This window comes from Homo sapiens, chromosome 2 (assembly GCF_000001405.40).
Source record: "Homo sapiens chromosome 2, GRCh38.p14 Primary Assembly".
Taxonomy (NCBI): domain Eukaryota; kingdom Metazoa; phylum Chordata; class Mammalia; order Primates; family Hominidae; genus Homo; species Homo sapiens.
In genome coordinates this window covers 135,322,291-135,348,777 of record NC_000002.12, presented here as the reverse complement: position 1 = coordinate 135,348,777, position 26,487 = coordinate 135,322,291, and the positions used below count along the sequence as shown (strand labels likewise).

General features: G+C 37.5%; 1 protein-coding gene across 3 annotated transcripts in view, besides 1 other annotated feature; it reads left to right on the top strand.

Annotated features, from left to right (window-relative positions):
* ZRANB3 (zinc finger RANBP2-type containing 3) overlaps nt 1-26,487 on the top strand; it is a 334,250-nt gene that overhangs the window by 182,441 nt on the left and 125,322 nt on the right. For all 3 annotated transcript variants that reach the window (NM_032143.4, NM_001286569.1, NM_001286568.2), the window contains exon 6: nt 3,143-3,228. In NM_032143.4, the coding sequence (NP_115519.2) occupies nt 3,143-3,228 (86 nt within the window). The remainder of the gene's footprint in view (nt 1-3,142; nt 3,229-26,487) is intronic.
* Nucleotides 11,372-11,572: a silencer, noted in NCBI's record as "peak3875 fragment used in MPRA reporter construct". NCBI's record gives its function as "represses an SCP1 promoter by STARR-seq MPRAs in K562 erythroleukemia cells {active_cell/tissue: K562}" and the evidence as "EXISTENCE:reporter gene assay evidence [ECO:0000049][PMID:32103011]".

Sequence of the window (26,487 nt, the reverse complement as noted above, 5' to 3'; positions counted from 1 at the left end):
TACTAAAAACACAAAAATTAGCTGGGCATGGTGGCCTGTGCCTGTAGTTTAGCTACCCGGGAGGCTGAGGCAGGAAAATCACTTGAACCCAGGAGGCAGAGGTTGCAGTGAGCTGAGATCTCACCATTGCACTCCAGTCTGGGTGACAGAGTGAGACTCTGTCTCAAAAATAAAAGAGAGTATACAAAAGATACATACATTTCAAATGACAATAATAAAATGAATACTCATCTACTTATAATCGAGCATAAGAAATAGAACATTAACAGTACAACAGTGGCTCTTACATCCTACTCTGATGACATGTCAGTACTTTTCACTCTTCACCTGTGGTAGCCACTATTCAAAGCAAGGGTAAATACCAATTTTGTGGGTCCTGATGATTGTATAATTTGTGTTTGGGATTTTTTTCTAAGAAAAAGAATATAAAATTAGAAATTCTAAGTTTGGAGTTTTGAAATTAGGAAGTGTGAGTTCTCTAATTTTTTCTTTCTTTCTTTTCTTTTCTTTTTTTTTTTTGAGACAGAGTCTCACTCTGTTGCCCAGGCTGGAGTGCAGTGGCATGATCTCGGCTCACAGCAACTTCTACCTCCCAGGTTCAAGCAATTCTTCTGCCTCAGCCTCCCGAGTAGCTGGGATTGCAGGCGCATGCCACCACACCCGGCACATTTTTGTATTTTGAGTAGAGACGGGATTTTACCATGTTGGCCAGGCTGGTCTCAAACTCCTGGCCTCAAGTGATCTGCTCGTCTTAGCCTCCTAAAGTGCTGGGATTACAGTTTTGAGCCACCACACCCAGTCTATTTCCACTCTTATCTTTATTGTGACCTTCCTTCTATTTGCTGTGGGTTGTTTGCTCTTACTTTTCCAGTGTGTTAAGGTGAAAAATTAGGTTATTGATTTGAGTTCTTCTTGTTTAACATAGTCATATGCAACTATTAATTTTCCTCTAAGCACTATTTTTGCTGCAACTCATGTTTTGGTATGTTGTGTTCTCAATTTCCTTTATCTCAAAATGTTCTCTAATTTCCTTTGTGATTTCTTCTTTGGCCCATTGGTTATTTCTGAATATGTTGTCATATTAAATGGATATAAAGCACTGAAGTCACTTTAGAAAAATTTAGGAGTTACTTAAAATGTTACTGTATGACCCAGCGATTTTATTCTTAGGTATATACCCAAGAGAACTGAAAACAGGCCGGGAGCAATGGCTCACGCCTGTGATCCCAGCACTTTGGGAGGCTGAGGCGGGCAGATCACGAGGTCAGGAGATCAAGACCAAGGTGAAACCCAGTCTCTACGAAAAAATACAAAAAAATTAGCCGGGCGCGGTGGTGGGCGCCTGTAGTCCCAGCTGCTCGGGAGGCTGAGGCAAGAGAATGGTGTGAACCCAGGAGGCGGAGCTTGCAGTGAGCCGAGATCGCACCACTGCACTCCAGCCTGGGCGACAGAGCGAGACTCCGTCTCAAAAAAAAAAAAAAAAGAGAACTGAAAACAAATTCTCACCAAAAATTATATACTCATGTGTATAGTTACATAGTAGCATTATTCATGATATTCAAAAAGTGGAAACAAGTAAAATGCCCATCAGTTGACGAATGTATAAACAAATGTGATATAGCCGTACAATGGAATTATTTGGACCTAAAGAGGAATGAAAATACTATATGTGTTACAACATGAATTAACTTTGAAAGCACTATGCTGGGTGAAATAAACCAGATACAAAAGGCTACATATTGTATAATTCTATTTATATGAAATGCCCAGAATAGGCAAATTCATAGAAACAGAAAGTGGGTTAGTAGTTGGCAGGATTGGAAGAGAGGAGAAATAGGCAGTGACTACTAATGGGTGTGGAGGTTTTTTGGGGGGTGATAAAAATATTATAGAATTAGTCATGATTGATGCACAACTATGTGAATCTATTGAAAGCCACTGAATTATGTTCTTTCAAAGTTTGAATAGTATATGAATTACATGTCACAATAAAGCTGTTGGTTTTTAAAAATATATTAAAATAACAGTGAGACAGTCCTGTGTGTAGCCTATCAGAGCTGTAAAAATGAAAAGATTTCATGATACTATTGATGGGAGTGTAAATTGGGATAATCTTCTTACTGGGCAACATGGTAACATTATCAAACTTTAAAACAGCATGTACCTTAGAATCAGCTATTCCATTTCTAAATATAATCCTACATCACCTCTAATAGAAATGCAAATGGATGGATGAATGAATGGATGGATGGATGGATAGATAGATGATTAATAGATACAGATATAAATATATGTACTATACCTATATATTCATATATATATACACACACAGTTATATGAAGTTGTTAATATTAGTAACTTCATAAAAGCTAGAAATAGGCTGGGCGTGGTGGCTCATGCCTGTAATTCCAGCACTTTGGGAGGCCAAGGCGGGTGGATCATGAGGTCAGAAGATCGAGACCATCCTGGCTAACAAGGTGAAACCCCGTCTCTACTAAAAATACAAAAACAAAATTAGCCGGGCATGGTGGTGGGCGTCTGTACTCCAAGCTACTCGGGAGGCTGAGGCGAGAGAATGGCGTGAACTCTGGAGGCGGAGCTTGCAGTGAGCCAAGATCACGCCACTGCACTCCAGCCTGGGCGACAGAGCGAGACTCCGTCTCAAAAACAAAAAACAAAACAAAACAAAAGCTAGAAATAGCCTATATGTCCAATATCACGAGTCTGTTTAAATCTTTTACAGTACATCTACATCATAATGGGTTGCTATTCAGTTTTTAAGCAGTGCATTATTATTTTATTGTCTATATAAGGTTTTAAAACTAAAAATAGACACGTGTAATTTAAGTGTCTGAGACATGTTTTATGGGACAAAATTCTAGTGTAACAATATATATGATATGATCCTCCTTATGTGAATAAAAGCATAAACATATGCTTATATCAACATAGAAAGATGTATAAATGTATATTTATACAACAGATAACGGTTATCCCTGATGAATAGTAGTGAGGGGATTTGAGGAATAAACAGTTGGATTTTCTTTTATACTTCCTACTATTTTGTTAAATGGTTTTATCATTGTAATAATAATTTACTTGAAAATATTACAACATACTACAAACACTTGTATTATTATAGCTTTTTATGCAGATTGAAGCTCTCTTTCCACAAAAATTTGGAAGATGGACCGACTATGCAAAAAGATACTGTAATGCACACATCAGGTAAGTTAAACTATTTTCCGTAAATTTTTTCCTCACATGTTTACTGTGAACATTGCTTTATTAATCATTCTTTTTTTTTTTGAGACAGAGTCTCACTCCCATCGCCCAGGCTGGACTGCAGTGGCACCATCATGGCTCACTACAATCTCTGCCTCCTGGGTTCAATCGATTCTTCTGCCTTAGCCTCCTGAGTAGCTGGGATTACAGGCATGCGCCACCATGCCCGGCTAATTTTTTTGTATTTTTAATAGAGATGGGGTTTCACCATGTTGGTCAGGCTGGTCTTGAACTCCTGACCTCAGGTTATTAATCATTCTTTATTCCAGTGTTTTACAAATTTGTGGTAGCTATGAAATAATTGGTGGACTATTATACATATAGGTGGATGACCTATATGTAAAATAAATAAAAGTAATAGATAATGGCAAAGTTTTCCTTTGTTTTTATTTTTTACTTTCTACTTTTTATTTTTGAAATTATTTATTTTTATTGGCTAGATTTACATGTAAATTATACAAAAGTAAAAACTAAGTGTTTCTTCCACTCTTGTCTCTCAGCAAACCATTTCCCTTCCCATGTAAGCAGTGTTGGCACTTTATTGTGTATCCTTCTGAAGATACCCTTTGGGTGAACAAGCATGTATGATTACATGTGTATAATATTATTTCATTTTATTTCAACATATATAGCACAATTTGTGCATTATTCTGCAGTTTGCTTTCTTCGTCTAGTATGTATTGTAGATCTTTCCATATCAGTTACTCAAAGAGCTTTGATATTCATTTTATTTTATTTTATCATATTTTTTTCAGACGGAGTCTCGCTCCGTTACCCAGGCTGGATGGAGTGCAGTGGTACAATCTCGGCTCACTGCAACCTCCGCTTCCGATGTTCAAGCAATTCTCCTGCCTCAGCCTCCTGAGTAGCTGAGATTACAGGCATGCGCAACCATGCCCGGCTAATTTTTGTTATTTTTACTAGAGATGGGGTTTCACCATGTTGGCCAGGCTGGTCTCAAACTCCTGACCTCAGGTGATTTGCCTGCCTTGACCTCCCGAAGTGCTGGGATTACAGGCTTGAGCCACCACGCCCAGCCTGTTATTCATTTTAAATGCTGTATCTATTCTACTGTTTAGAATTTATTTATGCAGTCTACTCTTATTGGACGTTTGTAGTATATAGCTGTGCATACAATGCAGCAATGAATATCTTTGCACATGTTGAGAGGTAGTATTTTATAGTTCTGAAGAGCATGGAAATTTAGAGCTAGACCACCTGTGTTTTATTTTCACGTCTGCTATTGCCGAACGCTTCATTTTAGAAAAGTAACTTTATCTCCTCATACCTCAGTTTCTTCAGCTCAAAAAAAATGGCAAATTATTATGCCTGCCTTGGAGAGTTATTATAAGACTTATATTAACTAATATTTCTAAAGTGCTTGAACAGTGACCATACATAGGGAGTACTTGATAATTGTTAGCTATTTTAGTATTTCATGCCATATGCATAGGGGAAAAATCTAAGATAAAGTTATAGAAGTGAAATTGCTAGTTTAAAGGGCATGTGCATTTTTATATTATTAGATTTTTCCAAATCATACTCCACGGAAGGTATAGCTTTTTATATTTCCACCAGCTTAGTGTCAGATTGTTTCTTTTTCCATACTTTTCAAACATAGTGAAATGTGAATTATTTTATTCTTGCCAATGTGAACTGATAGTAGCTTGTGACATTTGCCCATTATGTCATTAAATGCATTTGAGCATTATTTTTTCACACATATGAGTAATTTGTACTTTTTTTCTGTCAGTTGTCTATGTGTGCTGTTTGCCCTTCTGTCTACTAAATGTATTGGCTTTTTTCTTGATATGCTGAAAATCTTCATATATTACAAAAATAATCTCTTTATATGTGATATGAGTCTCTCATGTTTTGTTTCCCAATGCATTTTTTTTTTATAATTCCTTTAAATAACACCACATGGTCATGGTTTTCTGATGCTTTTTAAAGGGCTCCAAAGTACAAAGATAGAATTCTTCTAAATTGTTTCTATGAAGTCAGTCTAACACTTAATACCAAAATCAGACAAGATAGCACAAAAAATGAAAACGAGACTACAAATGCAGAAATCCTCAATATTAATAGATTAATGAAATCCAGAAACTCATTAAAAACCTAATATATTGATTATATGCAAATGGCATTCACATTAGGAATTCAAGGAAAGTTGAATATTAAGAAAGACATAAATATAATTCACCATATTAATAATGACAAAGAGAAACCTCATCATCTCTATATGTGCTGGAAGTCCTTAGGTAAAATATAGCATTTACCCTCCCTGTTTTTTTTTTTTTTTTTTTGGAGACAGAGTCTCACTCTGTTGCCCAGTCTGGAGTGCAGTGGCACAGTCACGGCTCACCGCAACCTCTGCCTCCCGGGTTCAAGCAGTTCTCCTGCCTCAGCCTCCAAGTAGCTGGGACTACAGCCGTGTGCTGCCATGCCCTGCTAATGTTTTTTTTTTTTTTTTTTTTTTTTTGGATTTTTAGTAGAGACAGGGTTTCGCCATATTGGCCAGGCTGGTCTTGAATTCCTGACCTCAGGTGATCCACCTGCCTCAGCCTCCCAAAGTGCTGGGATTACAGGTGTGAGCTACCATGCCCAGCCAACATTTACCCTTGATTACAGTTTTTAATAAATTTAGGGTATATATGTATATGTGTGTCTTTACATATATATAAGTGTATATATGTTTATGGGTGTCTTTCAATCCCAAAGCACTACCACATGAAACACTAAAATCCAGAAAAGGATGTTCACTATTACCACAGCTTACCTGTACTCTGGAGAACTGATAATTCAATTACTCAAAAGAACAATAAGAGGATATGAGGCTAATTTTGTCAGGAAAAAATTTTTTTACTTAAAAAAAAAGAAAAAAGACGGGCACAGTGACTCACACCTGTAATCCCAGCACTTTGGAAGGCCAAGGTAGGACAGTCACTTGAGCCCAGGAGTTTGACACTAGCCTAGGCAACATAGTAAGACCCCATCTCTATTAAAAGAGGTAAACATTTTCAAGAAAGAAAAAGTTATCATTATTTACAGCTGATGTTATTTATTTGGAAGACTGAGAATCAGCTGAAACATGTTCAAAAGAAGAATAGATTAAGATATCCTAGCACAAAGTTACTATTAAAAAGTCAGTTGTCGGCCAGGCGTGGTGGCTCACGCCTATAATCCCAGCACTTTGGGAGGCCGAGGTGGGCAGATCACTATTGGGGGAACCGGCCCCCAATATTTCAATGTAGGTTCTTTTCTATTTTCCCTAAGTGTTGGCTGGTCTGAGAAATAAAGGGAAAGAGTACAAAAGAGAGAAATTTTAAAGCTGGGTGTCCGGGGGAGACATCACATGTTGGCAGGTTCTGTGATGCCCCCTGAGCCGTAAAACCAGCAAGTTTTTATTAGCGATTTTCAAAAGGTAGGGAGTGTACGAATAGGCTGTGGGTCACAGAGATCACATGCTTCAAGGGCAATAAAATATCACAAGGCAAATGGGTAGGGCAAGGTCATAAGGCCAGGGTGAAACTAGAATTGCTGATTAAGTTCATGTCCCACTGTGCACCCATTATCTTTGATAAACATCTTAACAGGGTTCAAGAGCAGAGAACCAGTCTGACTAGAATTTGCCAGGCTGGAATCTCCTAATCCTAGTAAGCCTGGGGGCGCTGCAGGAGACCAGGGCGTGTTTCATCCCTATCTACAACTGCATAAGGCAGACACTCCCAGAGCGGCCATTTTAGAGGCCCCCCGCCCTGCCCTGGGAATGCATTATTTTCCCAGGGCTGTTAATTATTAATATTCCTTACTGGGGAAAGAATTCAGCGATATTTCTCTTACCCGTTTTCAGCAATAAGAGAAATACAGTTCTGTCCTGCCTGGCTCCCAAGCAGTCAGACCTAATGGTTATCTCCCTTGTTCCCTGAACATCGCTGTTACCCTGTTCTTTTTTCAAGGTGCCCAGATTTCATATTGTTCAAACACACATGCTCTACAAACAATTTGTGCAGATAATGCAATCATCACAGGATCCTGACGTGACATGCATCCTCAGTTTACAAAGATGATGGGATTAAGAGATTAAAGTAAACACAAGGATAGGAAATTATAAGAGTATTGATTGGGGAAGTGATACATGTCCATGAAGTCTTCACAATTTATGTTCTTCTGCTGTGGCTTCAGCCAGTCCCTCTGTTTGGGGTCCCTGACTTCCCGCAACAGATCACGAGATCCAGAGATCGAGACCATCCTGGCTAACATGATGAAACCCCGTCTCTACTAAAAGAAACAACAAGAAAAAAAATTAGCCAGGTGTGGTGGCGGGCACCTGTAGTCCCAGCTACTCTGAGGCAGGAGAGTGGCGTGAACCCGGGAGGTGGAGCTTTCAGTGAGCCGAGATAGCGCCACTGCACTCCAGCCTGGGCAGCAGAGCAAGACTCCATCTCAAAATCAATCAATCAATCAATAAATAGTCAGTTGTCTTTCTCTACACAAATAATATTTCTAAAATACAATGAAGATAAAAGATATAAGACTCAAGAATATTACTAAAGGACATATAAAAAGATAAATAAAAAGACATACTCCTGTTTGATGAAAAGACTTGGTATTATAAAGATTTTACTGTTTTTTTTGAGACGGAATCTCACTCTGTTGACCAGCCTGGGGTGCAATGGTGCGGTCTTGGCTCATTGCAACCTCCACCTCCTAGGTTCAAGCAATTCTCCTGCCTCAGCCTCCCGAGTAGCTGAGATTACAGGCGCGTGCCGCCACCACACCCGGCTAATTTTTGTATTTTTACAAAATACAAAAAATACATGGTTTCCCCATGTTGGCCAGGCTGGTCTTGAACTCCTGACCTCATGATCTGCCTGCCTTAGCCTCCCAAGTTGCTGGGATTACAGGTGTGAGCCACCTCACCCGGCCAAGATTTTACTTTTTTCTGAACTTAGGTAGATATAATATATTCAAATAAGAATATTTTTCTTGTAGATCCAGAAAATTGATTCTAAATGTTATTTGAAAAAATAAATAAGCAACAATTGCCAAGAAAGTTATGAAAAACTAGAGTATTAAAAAAAGGGGGTTGGGCGCAGTAGCTAACGCCTGTAATCCTAGCACTTTGAGAGGCCAAGCCAGGTAGATCACCTGAGGTCAGGAGTTCGAGACCAGTTTGGCCAACATGGTGAAACCCCATCTCTAATAAAAATACAAAAATTAGCTGGGCGTGGTGGCGGGCACCTGTAATCCCAGCTACTCAGGAGGCTGAGGCAGGAGAATCACTAGAACTGAGGAGGCGGAGGTTGTAGTGAGCCGAGATCGCGCCATTGCCCTCCAGCCTGGGCGACAAGAGCAAGACTCTGTCTTAAAAAAAAAAAAAAAAAAGAAAAGGGACAGGGATTCTTTCCCTTCTTCTTACACAACAATAAATTCCAGATGAATAAAATATTTAAACATTATTAAATAAAACCCTAAATAAAACATAGAGGAATTCTTTTATAACTTTGTTTTAGGGAAGTCATAAAAAGGAATATATTTGATTGTGTAAGAATTTAAAAGGTGTCACCCTTCTAGAAAATATCTATAAAGTAAAAAATTTCTAATTAAGGAAAAATTATTTATGTGTTGCGAATTAAAGAGAAGGCTAATTTCAGCGACTGAGAAAGATGTGCAAAAAATGTAAACAAATAATTGATAGAAAAGGAAATACAAATAGGTTTTAACTGCATAAATCTAATTGATAAGAGGAATTTAAATTGAAACTACAGTAAGACAAAGTTTTACCTATTACAGTTATAAAAATTATAACATTTAACAAAACAGTATATCATGAGCATATGAAGAAACAAACTGTCTTACATTGTTGAAAGGAATGTTATGGCTATACCATCTGTTTTGGGTTTTTTTTGAGACAGGGTCTTGCTTTGTCACCCAGGTTGGAGTGCAGTGGCACAATCATGGCTCAGTGTAGCCTCAACTGCCTTGGCTCAGGTGATCCTCCCACCTCAGTCTCCCTAGTAGCTGGGACTACAGGGATGCACTACCATGTCTGGCTAATTCTTTGTTTTTTTTGTTGTTTTTTTTTTCAGATGGAGTCTTGCTGTGTCACCCAGGCTGGAGTGCAGTGGCACGCTCACTGCAACCTCTGCCTCCCGGGTTCAAGCGATTCTCCTGCCTCAGCCTCCCAAGTAGCTGGGATTACAGGCATGCACCACCACACCCAGCTAATTTTTGTATTTTTAGTAGAGACGGGTTTTACCACATTGGTGAAGCTGTTCTCGAACTCCTGACCTGAGGTGTTCCGCCCACCCTGGCCTCCCAAAGTGCTGGGATTACAGGCATGAGCCACCACACCTGGCAATTAAAAAATTTTTTTTTGTAGATACGGGGTGTCAGTATGTTGCCCAGCCTTGTCTGGAACTCTGGGCTTCAGCGATCCTCCCACTTCAGCATCCTTAAGTGCTGGAATTACAGTCATGAGCCACCCTGCCTGGCCTATACCATCTATTGATAGAAATTTCACTATACCTACCAAACATTGAAAAGCCCATACATTTATTCTAGCAATTAAAATATAAGTTTATCTTACACTTGTTCATATATACTATTGTATGTAATTGTTCATGTGTGTTCTTATACATGTGTTATTCACATATTTATTAAATACACAACATATAGATATACACATACACACATATGCACATGTATGCAAAATTGAAATTGCGTGTTTAGTAAATAATACATGATTGGATAACAACTAGTTGTAGAGAACTTACTGTAAATTATTGTACCTCCATACAGTGGAATACTGTGTAATCTTGATGCAACTCATTTCCAAGATACAGTGTTGAAAGAAAAGGAAATTACAGAAAATTGTGTTATCTTTTGTATTTTTTAAAATGTATATGTGTAAAACACACGCACTGATTTTCCCTGGATGTCTTGAAATTGTCAACATGGTAGCCTCTGATGCCCCTGACCCAACTGACAGTCTCTGAGACTTCTCTATAGAAGCCACGCGGCACTGTGGTGTCCACTTTGCATGCTGTTAGTTTAACTGTTCAGCATAGTGTGATTACCCAGCTGGCTGGAGATTTATAAGAAGAGACCAGTTTGCAGTGGCAAGTGATCAGATTGATAGGGAACTTGACCTGCATTGTATTCCTCATTGGAGTGAGTTACTAGCTAGAAGCTCTTTGAGGGCAGAACACTTGTTTTTTCCAGTATTCTATTCCCAATGGCTAACACGGCACCTGGCACATGATATCCAATGTTTATTGAATTATTGAATACTGGATCTGGGTTTTTTTTGTATGCTAGATCCATGTAACTTCTTGACATGAATAACATCATTCATCTGCTAAATTCACAGATGTTGTCAAACTAATGGGGTTACTCAGATATAACTTAAAATTGCTCTGAAAATTGACATAGTATTAAAAAATACGCAGCACAGTCATCTTGGAGAAGCATTTCTTATACTTTAGATTTGGAGCTTCTGGAATAAAATGGCTGAACTAAGTGATTTGGATAATCTTTCCCAGCTCAAAGTTTTGTTTCTTCATATTGACTTTAAAAATCATGAGCAAAACAGGGATTCTTCTTATATTAAGTGAAATACTAAGAGGAGTACTTACGTAACTGACACTGTTACATTTATTTTACTACTTCTGTATAAAAGAAAAAAATGGAAAAACTAGTATAATTTGGCTACTTTCTATTAAGAATTTTAATTTAATATAGTTTTGTGACTTGGACTGAGAGAGTTCTGTGACACAGTTCTTAGTTGTTTTTCTGGTAACTGGGGGCATAATTAATTTGCTAACATCAGTTTTGATTAAACTATAAATCCATTTAGATGCTAGTTTGACCAAAGTAATAACTCTTTAGTCTTTACCAAGTGATTTTTTTTAACAGTGCATGGAAATGACTATAATGATTTTGCTACAGTGCCACAAATTAATATCCCTTCCCTCCACTAGGAAATCAACAGCAGCAAATGTAGTTAACACTGTTAGTTGTCTACCCCGTCTTCCTTCCAAGCAGGTTTCTGATTTACTTCAGTTATATATACATATCTATAGCACTCTGGGGAAGTTGACTTTGTATCCTTTTTCCCTGATGGATTCTGGTCATTCTAAGCCAGTTAACACATAGTATTCTTCAGACAACTGTTAACGGTCTAGGGTTGGTCTTGTGCCAAGCATGCTGAAGAAAGGCTTTATTTCCAGGATGGAGGACAAGATAAGCATCTTAAGCTGAATATGAACAAAGAAGCATGTTGTCCTACCTACTTCTGGTAGCTGTCTTCTGACCATGGTGGGTATCGGGTTTAGATTAGGCAAGCTTTTTAATGGCACAGTGACAAGGTGCAAGGAATACAAGAGTTGACCAATCCAGGAGCCTTCCTGGACTCTGAATTCCTTTTATTCATGTTGTAAAACGTTTCTTTTTTTATTAAACAATCTTGATTCAGAGTTTCAGTTCCTTATAGCCAAAAACCATGGTTCCTGGCATGTCATTTCTAAATATTCATTTTGTTCCTATCATAGGTCTTTTTTTTTCATGATGCTAGGTATTGGTGGGAAGCCCTTAATTGTAATTGTTGCAGACTGTAAATGCCTAAAATTTGCCCACATAAAACAAACATACTTACCTGCATTTATCTTTTGGAGTCTGGAACAACCCACGTGGTCAATAAGCATTTCTTTTTTTGTTTCCTGACTAGAACTTGTCATATGACAACAGAAAGAGAGAGTATACCTGTCTCTTTCTTACTTAATGCCTACCCTGTTTCATAAAAAAATTCATCTCTGTGAAATGCTTTATGATTGTGGAGGACATGTTCTGTTTTCTGGAGAAAGCCATTTCAAGATTAATATCATGCTTCTCAAAAGGCATTTTCTTTCAGGTTCCATTTCAGAAGTTTTATGTTATTCCTTTACTTCTTTACCTTGAAAGCACTATGGTTCCATAGACTCTAACTCAGCTCAAGTCACTTCCTGGCATTTTAAGTTAGTCTGTGGAGTGCTATATATTTTTCCATAATGTTTTGATTCTGTGAAGGTGTCATTTTCACACTATAATTTTGCAGAATGCAAATTTTGGTTAGTTATTCAGTTCTAGACCCATATTTTATATTTGAAATGTCATGACTGTATTCAAAATAAGTTAAGTGAAGCTTCAGCAAAAATATAATTTTGCTTTTATAAAGTGTATTAAATACCTAAGTAATGACAAACAGAAATGTACTAATGCAAATGTAGTTCAGGGATGAGAAGTTAGGGTATAGGTAACCAGCTACCTGGTTTGACTTGAGACAGACAGCAGAAGTATTACTCAACCAGAACATCTCTTATCCAAAATGCCTTACATCATTCACTTCACAGGGTTATATTTAGAAGAAACTATAAATACAAATATGATTTGGAGAAGGCAACATACTCAGTTGTCAACCATTAGCACATTGAATGATCAATTGTTAAAGCTAAAAGACTTTGGAGATCACCCAGTTCCCCTCTGTCATTTTATAAGCACTTGGTGAGTTTAAATGGCTTGCTCTATCTCACTTCCTTTTATGTTGTTTTTTTTTCCCCCTGGAAGTAATGAAAACTTAGGGAATGGCAACTTTAATAAATATTCTTTTACATAGAAAAAGAGAACACATAGATAACCCAGCCAAGCATCCTGTTACCAGCAGCTGTCTTCAAAAAGTATGCTGTGAGAAGACATATTGGTCGTCCCTAATATTATGTTTTTGTTTTTGTTGTTTTGTTTTGTTTTGTTTTGTTTTGTTTGAGACAGAGTCTTGCTCTTTTGCCTGGGTTGGAGTGCAGTGGTGCAATCTCTGCTCACTGCAACCTCCGCTTCCCTGGTTCAAGAGATTGTCCTGCCTCAGCCTCGCAAATAGGTGGGACTGCAGGCATGTGTCACCACACCAGGCAAATTTTTGTATTTTTAGTGGAAACAGGGTTTCACCATGTTGGCCAAGCTGTTGTCGAACTCCAGACCTCAAGCCATCTGCCCACCTCAGCTTCCCAAAATGCTAGGATTTACAGGCATGAGGCACAGCGCCCAGCCTCTTCCAATGGTGTGTTAATGTTATGTTTGAATTACTGTTGAATTACTATGTTAATGTAATGTTATGTTTGAATTACTGTTAAGATATTCTAGACACTATTCTGTGTCACCCAGAATAGTGTCTAGAATATCTTGACAATAATTCATCAATTTTTAAAATGTTATTTGTCATTGATATTTTGTACCATTTCCACCTCTAAGGAGAATTCGTTGTCTAAATTTTTATGAGAGGAAAAATGCTGCATGATAATACAAATTAAAAGTATTTATAGACATACCTAAAGATTGTTAATTAATGGGTCATTGTCAGCTTCAAGAAATGTCTCAAGGGAGAGCATCAGGATAAATAGCTAATGCATACGGGGCTTAATACCTAGGTGATGGGTTGATAGGTACAGCAAACCACATGGCACTCATTTACCTGTGTAACAAACTGCACATCCTGCATATGTATCCTGGAACTTAAAATTAAATTAAATTATTTTTATTTTTATTTTTAAAATATATTTATTTTTGAGATGGAGTCTTGCTCTGTCGCCCAGGCTGGAGTGCAGTGGTGCGATCTCAGCACACTGCAACCTCCGCCTCCCAGGTTCAACCGATTCTCTTGCCTCAGCCTCCTAAGTAGCTGGGACTACAGGCGCGCGCCACCATGCCTGGCTAAATTTTTGTATTTTTAGTAGAGACGGGGTTTCACCATGTTAGCCAGGATGGTCTCGATCTCCTGACCTCGTGATCCACCTGCCTCGGCCTCCCAGAGTGCTGGGATTATAGACGTGAGCTACCGCGACTGGCCTAAATTAAATTAAATTAAAAAAAAATGTCTCTCATGGAATTGCACTGTCCCTCCTTTGTCCTCAGCATTGTTGCATTTAATGTTCTCACCCATGGCTGAATAGAGGTTGTGTCTATTCCATTGGCAAATGGTTCGAATCTGAGAGAAATAGTTAATATAGTGGATGGCAGAGATATGTTTGAAAAATAATTAGATAAATATTAATAGAATATGTATTCTGCATTGAGACTTAGAAAGTCAGCTTTGTGTGGAAGGGATTTGAGAAACCCTCACCTATTTATCAATAGTTCAGTTCTAAAAGATTTGTGGTTTTGAATAACCTTAGGCTAAATTGGAGTAAGGGGTGCTTCTACTCCATTCATTGATTAGACTGCATTTAGAGTACAGTTTAATTTTGAATTTATCCATTCATTCTGAAAGTATTTTAGGATGCCTCTTACATGCTAAGCCATGTAGTAGCCATCAGATATGCATTAGAGAACAAGACCCACATAGTCCAGCCTTCACTGAGTTTTCAAGTCAAATACTAACCTAGTTGAATATTCTAGAACTAAAAGAAGAGAGTTTCAAGATAGTGACGGAGTTAGGTAGGGATAATATACAGAGTCTTGTTCTTCATCATAATGGCAATAAGAAGACATTGCAGGGTAGTTTGGTTTTTAGTTATCAGTATTGTAGTTTTTTAATTGCAGTAAAATATGCATAACAAAATTTACCATTTAAGTATTTTTAAATGTACAGTTCAGTAGATACAGTTGCCTGTATATGTTTTAGGTTTTTCAATTGCAGTAAAATATGTACAACAAAATTTACCATTTAAACATTTTTAAATGTGCAATTCAGTGACTTTCAATACATTCTAATGTGTTTCAGTACATTCTGTTGTTGTGCAACCATTACCACTTTTCATCATCAGAACTTTTTCATCATTACAGATTGAAACTCTGTACCCATTAAATAATTGACCCCATTTCCGCCTCCCCTAGTCCCTATAATGTAAAACTTAGAGCATGAAACAAACATCATTAGATTTATAGATTTGATTTATTATCTAAGATATTTCACATGGTTCAAAATTCTAACCTATGGAAGAGTATACACATTGAAAAATCCCTTTTACCTAAGTTCTCCCTATAGGCGACTGTATGTAGTTTTTAATCTTCCCTCAGAAACTGTGTGCATATTCAGGCAAATTCATTGTTTTAAAAAGATTGTAATATAAGCATAAACATTGTTTTGTACTTTCCCTTTTTGTCTTTTTTTCATATACATAAATGGTATACATTATGGTTGCATGTCATTGTATCATTGGAAATATACTGTACTTTCGGGGATGGCAGGAAGTTGAGAGTTTGCCTTGTACAGTTTATATTTTCTCTGTGGAATGGGAAGGACAATCATAGGTTCAGAGAAATGGAAAAATAGAGGGTTAAAGGTTTCATGAAAGTTGATGTGGTTTGAAATTTTACCAAATGAGAATGAGATTAGTGTGGTAGGATTGTTAACAGCTCTAGTAATCATTTGAGATCAGCAACTGCAGATTTGTAATGGAACCAGTTTTCTCTAAGGTACAATTTCTCCAGCCACACCCAGCAGCCTGGATACAGGCATGGAAAAGGCTTCAGGCCTTTTTGATCCTGAGGTTGGATCCATTCAAGATTGGATTTTTTCAACAGCTTATGATGCATGGACTGTGGGACAAGGGAACTTAAACTATATTTATAAGAACAAAGGTAATGTATGAACTCAGAAATCAACAGGGCTGAGGAAAGATGTGAAGACAGAAAAAATATAATGGATTTGGAAATTAGAGGAGTCAGTTGACTGAAATGTATTGATGCAATAGTAAAGACATAGTGAGTATGAATGAACAAGCACCTTCGAAGGATGGGGTAAGTAGAGAGTAGAATGTCTCAATTTACCAGGTAGAACGGTTTCTTAGGACCTGGTTGTAACCATAGGGATAGTTGGAGTAGGTTTTAGAGGGTCATTGAAGACAATGAGTGTGAGGAACTAAGAGGGAACTAGAAGCCATGTTTTAAGAAGCATTTTAACAAATGAAAACATATCTGGAAAAGGGTGACCAGAATAATGAGAGGAATCTCATATTCAGTTCAAAAATGTCTAATGTTATTGATTGCCTACTATATTTAAGACATTATTTCAGAGCTGCCGGCAATACAAAGATGAATAAGACATAGTACTTGATCTTATGAAGCCTACAGGAATTTGAAAACGAGAAGCCCTAAGGGGAGCAGGTTTTTAAATATTTAAAGATCTGTCATGTTCTAAAAGAATTAGACTTCTGTCTTTGTGGCCTCAGAGAGCAAAACTAGTATCAAGCAGTGGAACTTAATAGGGAGGTAGATTTTGGCTTAATATGAGTAAGAAGTTTTAAAATATATGTACTTATGTATTAAGCACTATAACAATAAAAATGGAAAGGAAAAATACCATAATTCTACTATACTAATAAGTAAACTGTTTTCATTTTTTATTTCTACTCTTGTCTATAGATCTAATTATTTTTACAAAGTTTTATCTATCTTACATGTAATGAATGCTATCATCTGCTAATTTTCTCTTAGGAATGCCTTGTCCCATGCATTAACATTGTCTTTATAAGTTGTTTCATTTCCTTTACTTTTATTGATTTAAAGATAGTTTATTTCATTTTGGAAAGTTATTCATACTTATTTTTAACAAACCACACATAGAAAAAAACATTTTCTTAAAAAAGTAAAAGTCTCCTAGTGTCTGATAAAACAGACTTTAAACCAACAAAGATCAAAAGAGACAAAGAAGACCATTACTATAATGGTAAAGGGATCCATTCAACAAGAAGAGCTAACTATCCTAAATATATATGCACCCAATACAGGAGCACCCAGATTCATAAAGCAAGTCCTTAGAGAGCTACAAAGAGACCTAGACTCCCAAACAATAATAATGGGAGACTTTTTAACACCCCACTGTCAATATTAGACAGATCAGCGACACAGAAGATTAACAAGGATATCCAGGACTTGAACACAGTGCAGACCTAATAGACATCTACAGAACTCTCCACCCCAAATCAACAGAATATACATTCTTTTTAGCACCACATCACACTTACTCTAATATTGACCACATAATTGGAAGTAAAGCACTCCTCAGCAAATGTAAAAGAAATCACAACAAACTGTCTCTCAGACCACAGTCCAATCAAATTAGAACTCAAGATTAAGAAACTCACTCAAAACTGCACAACTACATGGAAACTGAACAGTCTTCTCCTGAATGACTAGTGGGTAAATAATGAAATGAAGGCAGAAATAAAGGTGTTCTTTGAAACCAATGAGAAAAAAGGCACAACGTACCAGAATCTCTGGGACACATTTAAAGCAGTGTGTAGAGGGAAATTTATAGCACTAAATGCCCATAAGAGAAAGCAGGAAAGATCTAAAATCGACACCCTAATATCACAGTTAAAAGAACTAGAGAAGCAAGAGCAAACACATTCAAAAGCTAGCAGAAGGCAGGAAATAGTTTAACTAATATCAGAGCAGAACTGAAGGAGATAGAGACACAAAAAACCAAAATCAATGATTCAAAAAATCAATGAATCCAGGAGCTGGTTTTTTGAAAAGATCAACAAAATTGATAGACTACTAGCAAGACTAATGAAGAAAAGAGAGAAGAATCAAATAGACGCAATAAAAAATGATAAAAGGGATATCATCACTCATCCCACGGAAATACAAACTACCGTCAGAGAATACTATAAACACCTCTATACAAATAAACTAGAAAATCTAGAAGAAATGGAAAAATTCCTGGACACATACACCCTCCCAAGACTAAACCAGGAAGAAGTTGAATCTCTGAATAGACCAATAACAGGCTCTGAAATTGAGGCAAAAATAGCCTGCTAACCAAAAAAAAGTCCAGGACCAGACAGATTCACAGGGAATTCTACCAGAATTACAAAGAGGAGCTCGTGCCATTCCTTCTGAAACTATTCCAATCAATAGAAAAAGAGGGAATCCTCCCTAACTCATTTTATGAGGCCAGCATCATCCTGATACCAATGCCTAGCAGAGACATGACAAAAAAACAGAATTTTAGATGAATATCCCTGATGAACATCGATGCGAAAATCCTTAATAAAATACTGGCAAACAATCCAGCAGCACATCAAAGAGCTTATCCACCACGATCAAGTCAGCTTCATCCCTGGGATGCAAGCCTGGTTCAACATAACGCAAATCAATAAATGTAATCCATCACATAAACGGAACCAATGACAAAAGCCACATGATTATCTCAACAGATGCAAAAAGGCCTTCTACAAAATTCAACAGCCCTTCATGCCAAAAACTGTAACTAAACTAGGTATTGATGGAATGCATCTCAAAATAATAAGAGCTATTTATGATCAATCCACAGCCAATATCATACTGAATGGGTAAAAACTGGAAGCATTACCTCTGAAAACTGGCACAAGACAAGGATGCACTCTCTCACCACTCCTATTCAACATATTGTTGGAAGTTCTGGCCAGGGCTATCAGGCAAGAGAAAGAAATAAAGGGTATTCAGTTAGGAAAAGAGGAAGTCAAATTGTCCCTGTTTGCAGATGACATGATTATATATTTAGAAAACCCCACTGTCTCAGCCCAAAATCTCCTTAAGCTGATAAGCAACTTCAGCAAAGTCTCACAATATAAAATCAATGTGCAAAAATCACAAGCCTTCCTATACACCAAAAACAGACAAACAGAGAGCCAAATCATGAGTGAACTCCCATTCACAATTGTTACAAAGAGAATACAAAGGAATCCAACTTACAAAGGATGTGAAGGACCTCTTCAAAGAGAGCTACAAACCACTGCTCAGTGAAATAAAAGAGGACACAAACAAATGGAAGAACATTCCATGCTCATGGATAGGAAGAATCAATATCATGAAAATGGCCATACTGCCCAAGGTAGTTTATAGATTCAATGCTATCCCCATCACGCTACCAATGACTTTCTTCACAGAATTGGAAAAAACTACTTTAAAGTTCATATGGAACCAAAAAAGAGTCTGCATTGCCAAGACAATCCTAAGCAAAAAGAACAAAGCTGGAGGCATTATGCCACCTGGCTTCAAACTATGCTGTAAGGCTACAGTAACCAAAACAGCATGGTACTGGTACCAAAACAGATATATTGAGCAATAGAACAGAACAGAGGCCTCAGAAATAACACCACACATCTACAACCATCTGATCTTTGACAAACCCAACAAAAACAAATATGGGGAAAGGATTACCTGTTTAATAAATGATGCTCGAAAAACTGGCTAGCCATGTGTAGAAAGCTGAAACTGGACCCCTTCTTTACACCTTATACAAAAATTAATTCAAGATGGATTAAAGACTTACATGTTAGACCTAAACCCATAAAAACCCTAGAAGAAAACCTAGGCAATATCATTCAGGATATAGGCATGGGCAAGGGCCTCATGACTAAAACACCAAAAGCAATGGCAACAAAAGCCAAAATAGACAAATGGGATCTAATTAAACTAAAGGGCTTCTGCACTGCAAAAGAAACTATCATCAGAGTGAACAGGCAACCTACAAAATGGGAGAAAATTTTTGCAATTTACCCATCTGAAAAAGGGCTAATATCCAGAATCTGCAAAGAACTTAAACAAATTTCCAAGAAAAAATCAACCCCAGCCAAAAGTGGGCAAAGGATATGAACAGACACTTCTCAAAAGAAGACACTTACGCAGCCAACAGACACATGAAAAAATGCTCATCATCACTGCTCATCAGAGGAATGCAAATCAAAACCACAATGAGATACCATCTCACACCAGTTAGAATGGCAATCATTAAAAAGTCAGGAAACAACACATGCTGGAGAAGACGTGGAGAAATAGGAATGTTTTTACAGTGTTTGTGGGAGTGTAAACTAGTTCAACCATTGTGGAAGACAGTGTGGCGATTCCTCAAGGATCTAGAACTAGAAATACCATTTGACCCAGTGATCCCATTTCTGGATATATACTCTAAGGATTATAAGTCATGCTGCTATAAAGACACATGCACACGTATCTTTATTGTGGCACTATTCACAATAGCAAAGAGTTGGAACCAAACCAAATGTCCATCAATGATAGACTGGATTAAGAAAATGTGGTACATATACACCATGGAATGCTATGCAGCCATAAAAAAGGATGAGTTCATGTCCTTTGCAGCGACGTGGATGAAACTGGAAACCATCATTCTCAAACTATCACAAGGACAGAAAACCAAACACCACATGTTCTCACTCTTATGTGGGAATTGAACAGTGAGAATGCTTGGACATAGGGCAGGGAACATCACACATGGGGGCCTGTTGGGGGGTGGGGGCCTGGGGGAGGGATAGCATTAGGAGAAATACCTAATGTAAATGACGAGTTGATGGGTGCAGCAAACCAACGTGGCACATGTAAACCTATGTAACAAACCTGCATGTTGTGCACATGTACCCTAGAACTTAAAGTATAATAATAATAATAAAAATTGGCTTTAACTAAAAAAAAAAATTAAAAGTCAACTGAAGTGCTTTCGTAACTTTCCCTCTAGACAGCTTCTCTACTTAAGTACATAAAGAAGGATGAATTGATAAGCAATTTTATATAAATAAGATCATATTGTACACACTTTTCTGTAATATGTCTTTATCACAATACTATCTTAGGACATTTTTTGATATCAGTAACTAAAATACATAATTTTTATTGGCTATATGATTATATTTTATATATGATACTATGCCATGTGTTTTAGATGTATTATCTTTAATTCCTTTAACAATCCTACAAGGCAGATGATAGTATGTCCATTTTATAGATGAGGAAGCTGTATTTGGAAAGGTTAAGCTGTATTTGGAACGGTTAAGTAACTTGTCAAATCACATAACTAAACAGTGAAAAAACAAGAATATAAACACCCTTTGACACCCGTTTTCTTCTGTTCTCCTTCCAGTATTTGAATTATTTGGTAATTCAGTGTCCAGTTTTATATTATTGACTAAGTATATTAAATTAATGGACTAAATAAATTAATATTATTCTCTACTAAATCAAGAAGTTGACTGTTCCTTTCTTAGTCAACTTTTTGTTTACCTTATAATTCATTTTTTTCCCATCTGTTTGGTTTTCTATATAGCTATTGCTGCTTTTTCACTGAAAGACTCCAACCAATCTGTCAACTTCCAACATGTCTTATAAGCACATAAAATAATCTTTTTTCGTTTTCCTGGAGATTTTCCTCCCACAGCCTTCTGTTATGCTCCAATCTAAACCAATTTTTCTTTAGGCATGGCAGAAAGCTGTCACCCTGAATTTCCTTGGGCCATTCTGCTCTGTTGGATCCTCACATTCCTGGATTTCATGACTTTTATTTCTTAGTTTATTCCCTGATATTTTAAATATTTTATTATGGAAAAAATTAACATATACAAAAGTACATCCTATAGTATAATGAACCCCCCATGTACTCATTACCCAGCTTCAACAATGATTATCTCATGACCAGTTTTATTTTTGCTATGCTCCCATCTACCTCTTCTACTCCATATTATTTTGAAGGAAATCCTAGAGATTGTATTTTATCTATAAAATGTTTCACATATGTCTCTAAAGAGTAAGGAAGGACTGTTCTTTTTTTTTTTTTTTTTTTTTTTTGAGATGGAGTCTTGTTCTGCTGCAAGGTTGGAGTGCAGTGGCGTGATCTCTGCTCACTGCACCCTCTGCCTCCCAGGTTCAAGCAATTCCCCTGCCTCAGCCTCCTGAGTAGCTGGGACTACAGGTGTGCACCACCACGCCTGGCTAATTTTTTGTATTTTATTAGAGATGGGGTTTCACCGTGTTGGCCAGGATGGTCCCAATCTCCTGACCTCATGATCTGCCCGCCTCAGCCTCCCAAAGTGCTGGGATTACAGGCATGATCCACCATGCCTGGCCGGGACTGTTCTTAAAAATAATTATGCGGGACTTAATACCTAAGTCATGGGTTAATAGGTGCAGCAAACCACCATGGCACACGTTTACCTATGTAACAAACCTGCACATTCTGCACATGTATCCCGGAACTAAAAGTAAAATTTAAAAAAAACTATAAATTTTAATCCCCATTTAAAAAGTAATTAATTATAATACCATTATTATACCTTAAAAATTAAAATTAATTGCATTAAATCCCTTGATTGCATTAAAAATGCAGTAAATGGTTGGGTGATGGGTGCGCCAAAATTTCACAAATCACCACTAAAGAACTTATTCATGTAACCAGAGACCACCTGTACCCCAGTAACCTATGGAAAAGCACAAACATGCACACACACATAAAACATATTTAATTTTACATAATTAAAATGCACTTTTTATGTTATAAAAAATGAAGTAAAGGTTGAAATTTCCAGTTGTTTTGTGAATACATAATTTTACTGTTTTTTGGGGTTCTTTTTAGTTTTTTCCCTGTAGTTTGTATAGATCAGTACCCAAATAAGGCTCACATACAGCAAATGATAGATGTCACTGAAGTCTTGGGTTTCTCTTTTATTTCCTTGTTTTATTTATTTATTTTTCCATTGTGGAAGAATCTAAATTGTTTTTGTAATCTAGATTCTGCTGCCTGCATCCTCATGGTGTTGTTTAACATGTTCCTTTGTCCTCTGTATTTCCATGTTCGTATTTAGATCTAGAAACTTCTAATATTTGGAGACAATTCTCCTTTGTAGTGATGTTTTCTTCTGTTAGGAGATATCTAAAGCCTCTCTTTTTATGATGTTAGCAGCTGTGAATGTTCAGTACATTATTAAGCCTTTGGACATTGCAGAATGGTGATATTCTAACACACTTTCTTCATTTAATAGTTGGCCTGCCTCATGGCCGGGTGCGGTGGCTTACACCCATAATCCCAGCACTTTTGGAGGCTGAGGTGGGTGAATCATGAGGTCAGGAGATCAAGACCGTCCTGGCTAACATGGTGAAACCCCATCTCTACTAAAAATACAAAAACAAAATTAGCCAGGCATGGTGGCAGCCACCTGTAGTCGCAGCTACAGGCTGAGGCAGGAGAATGGCGTGAACCTGGGAGGCGGAGCTTGCAGTGAGCCAAGATTACGCCACTGCACTCCAGCCTGGAGACTCCATCTCAAAAAAAAAAATAGTTGGCATGCCTCTTTAAAATAAAACCTCATCATAATTTATTATGTGGACATTCACTGGTTCAGTTTGCTTAAGAAAGGCAGGATAAATTTTTTCCTTCTCATTTATTAATTTTCAATGTAATAAGTTGTTTTGTTAGCAACTTACAGTGGTGTCCAGTGCTTTTTATTTTCAAAGTTGGCAAGTTTAAGTCCTTCAACTTTGTTCTTTTTCAAGGTTGTTTTGGCTATTCTGTGTCACTTGCATTTTTATGTAAATTTCTGTATCAGCTTGTCAACTTCAGCAAAGAAGTCAGCTGGAATTTTGATACAGATTGCATTGAATCTGTAGATTAACTTTGGGAGTTTAGCATCTTTATAATAGTAAGTTTTCAAATTCATGAACAGTAATGTCTTTCCATTTATTTAATTAAAAAAGAAATCCTACAATGTTGTGTAGCTTTCAGGGTATAAGTATTACATTTTAAACAAATTTACAAGAAAAAAACAACCCCATCAACAAGTGGGCAAAGGATATGAAAAGACACTTCTCAAAAGAAGACATTTATGCAGCCAACAGACATGAAAAAATGCTCATCATCACTGCTCATCAGAGAAATGCAAATCAAAACCACAATGAGATACCATCTCACACCAGTTAGAATGGCGATCATTAAAAAGTCAGGAAACAACAGGTGCTGGAGAGGATGTGGAGAAATAGGAACACTTTTACACTGTTGGTGGGACTGTAAACTGTTTCAACCATTATGGAAGACAGTGTGGCGATTCCTCAAGGATCTAGAACTAGAAATACCATTTGACCCAGCCATCCCATTACTGGGTATATACCCAAAGGATTATAAATAATGCTGCTATAAAGACACATGCACGCGTATGTTTATTGCGGCACTATTCACAATAGCAAAGACCTGGAGCCAACCCAAATGTCCAACAATGATAGACTGGATTAAGAAAATGTGGCACATGTACACCATGGAATACTGTGCAGCCATAAAAAATGATGAGTTCATGTCCTTTGTTGGGACATGGATGAAGCTGGAAACCATCATTCTCAGCAAAGTATCACAAGAACAAAAAACCAAACATCGCATATTCTCACTCATAGGTGGGAATTGAACAGTGAGAACACTTGGACACAGGAAAGGGGACATCACACACCGGGGCCTGTTGTGGGGTGAGGGGAGGGGGGAGGGATAGCATTAGGAGATATACCTAATGTTAAATGATGAGTTAATGGGTGCAGCACACCAACATGGCACATGTATACATATGTAACAAACCTCCACGTTGTGCACATGTACCCTAGAACTTAAAGTATAATAATAATAAAAAAAAATCAAGATGAGGGCCAGACACAGTGGCTCATGCCTATAATCCCAGCACTTTGGGAGGCCGAGGTGGGCGGATCACCTGAGGTCAGGAGTTCGAGACCAGCCTGACCAACATGGCGAAACCCCATCTGTACTAAAAATATAAAAATTAGCTGGAGGTGGCTGTTGCATGCCTGTAATCTCAGCTGCTCAGGAGGCTGTGACAGGAGAATCACTTGGACCCAGGAGGCAGAGGTTGCAGTGAGCCGAGATCGAACCACTGCACTCCAGCCTGGAGATGGAGTGCTCTCCTGAGATGGAGAGCAAGACTCCATCTCAAAAAAAAAGAGAAAAAATCAAGGTGAGGAAAGACCCTTTCTAATTCTAGTTTATTGAGTATTTGAGAGTTTTTAACTCATGTTTTTTTTGAATCAATTTTATTTATAATCCTTATTGATCATCAAATTGTCCCTCTTTTGACCGATGGGATGATCTCCAATTACTTTGTAATTTACATTCTACTCTTTTCATGATGATACCTTTATTCCACTTTCAGAGCACTTTGATAGTTCAGTATTTAGGGAGCAAGTTTGTGTTCTGTTTATCTGGGCTGTTCTTTGTCAATTCTATTTGTAATCTGTCATCATCATTTCACTCTGAATAATTTCAGTTTTTCAATGTATCCTCCTCTAACTTCCACACTCCATTATCTCCCTCTGTTATGTTAACAATTAGATTGTGTCCCCTTTCTAAATCTTGTCTAGTCTATAATATTCTTCTTGGATGATAAACCAGAACTAAACATTCTGTTACATTTGCAAGGCACTATTATTTGATATAAGAACAGAGTGTTGTAAATTTTCCCCCAATTCTATCATGTGTCAAACTGTTTCATTGTTAAACTTATGTGGTTGGAAAGCAAAATACTACAACCATTTTGGAAAACAGTTTGAAAATTTGTTTATAATTGTTTATAAAGTTAAACTTACAAGACCTGCAAAACACTAATGAAAAATAAAAGAAGACCTAAATGAATGGAGTGGTATACCATGTTTGTGGACAGGGAGACTAAAAAAAAAAAAATTTTTTTTTTTGAGACAGAGTTTGTTGCCCAGGCTGGAGTGCAGTGGCACGATCTTGGCTCACTGCAACCTGTGCCTCCCAGGTTCAAACAATTCTCATGTCTCAGCCTCCCAAGTAGCTGGGATTACAGGTGCCCGCCACCACTCATAGCTAATTTTTGTATTTTTAGTAGAGATGGGGTTTTGCCATGTTATCCAGGCTGGTCTTACACTCCTGACCTCAGGTGATCCACCTGCCTCGGCCTCCCAAAGTGCTAAGATTACAGGCGTGAGCCACTGCGCCTGGTCAACAAAAATTTTTTTAAGAGACATGATCTTGCTTGGTCACCCAAGCTGAAGTGCAGTAGCACAATCATAGCTTACTGTAGCCTCAACCTCCTGGGCTCAAGCAATCCTCCTCTCTCAGCCTCCCAAGTAGGGAGGACTACAGGAGCACAACACCACACTCAGCTAATTGTTTTTCATTTTTTATAGAGATTGGGTCTTGCTATGTTGCCCAGGCTGGTCTCGAACTCCTGGCCTCCAGCAATTCTCCCACTTTGACCTCCCAAAGTGTTGGGATTACAGGCATGAGCCACCGTGCCTGGCCTCAATATTTTTTAAATGGCAGTTTCCCTCAAATTGTTCAGTGGATTCTGTGCAATAACAATCAAACCCAAGATTTTGTAGAAATTGACATTTTAAATCTAAAATTTATATGCAAAGACAAAGTTCCTTTTTTAAAAGAACTTT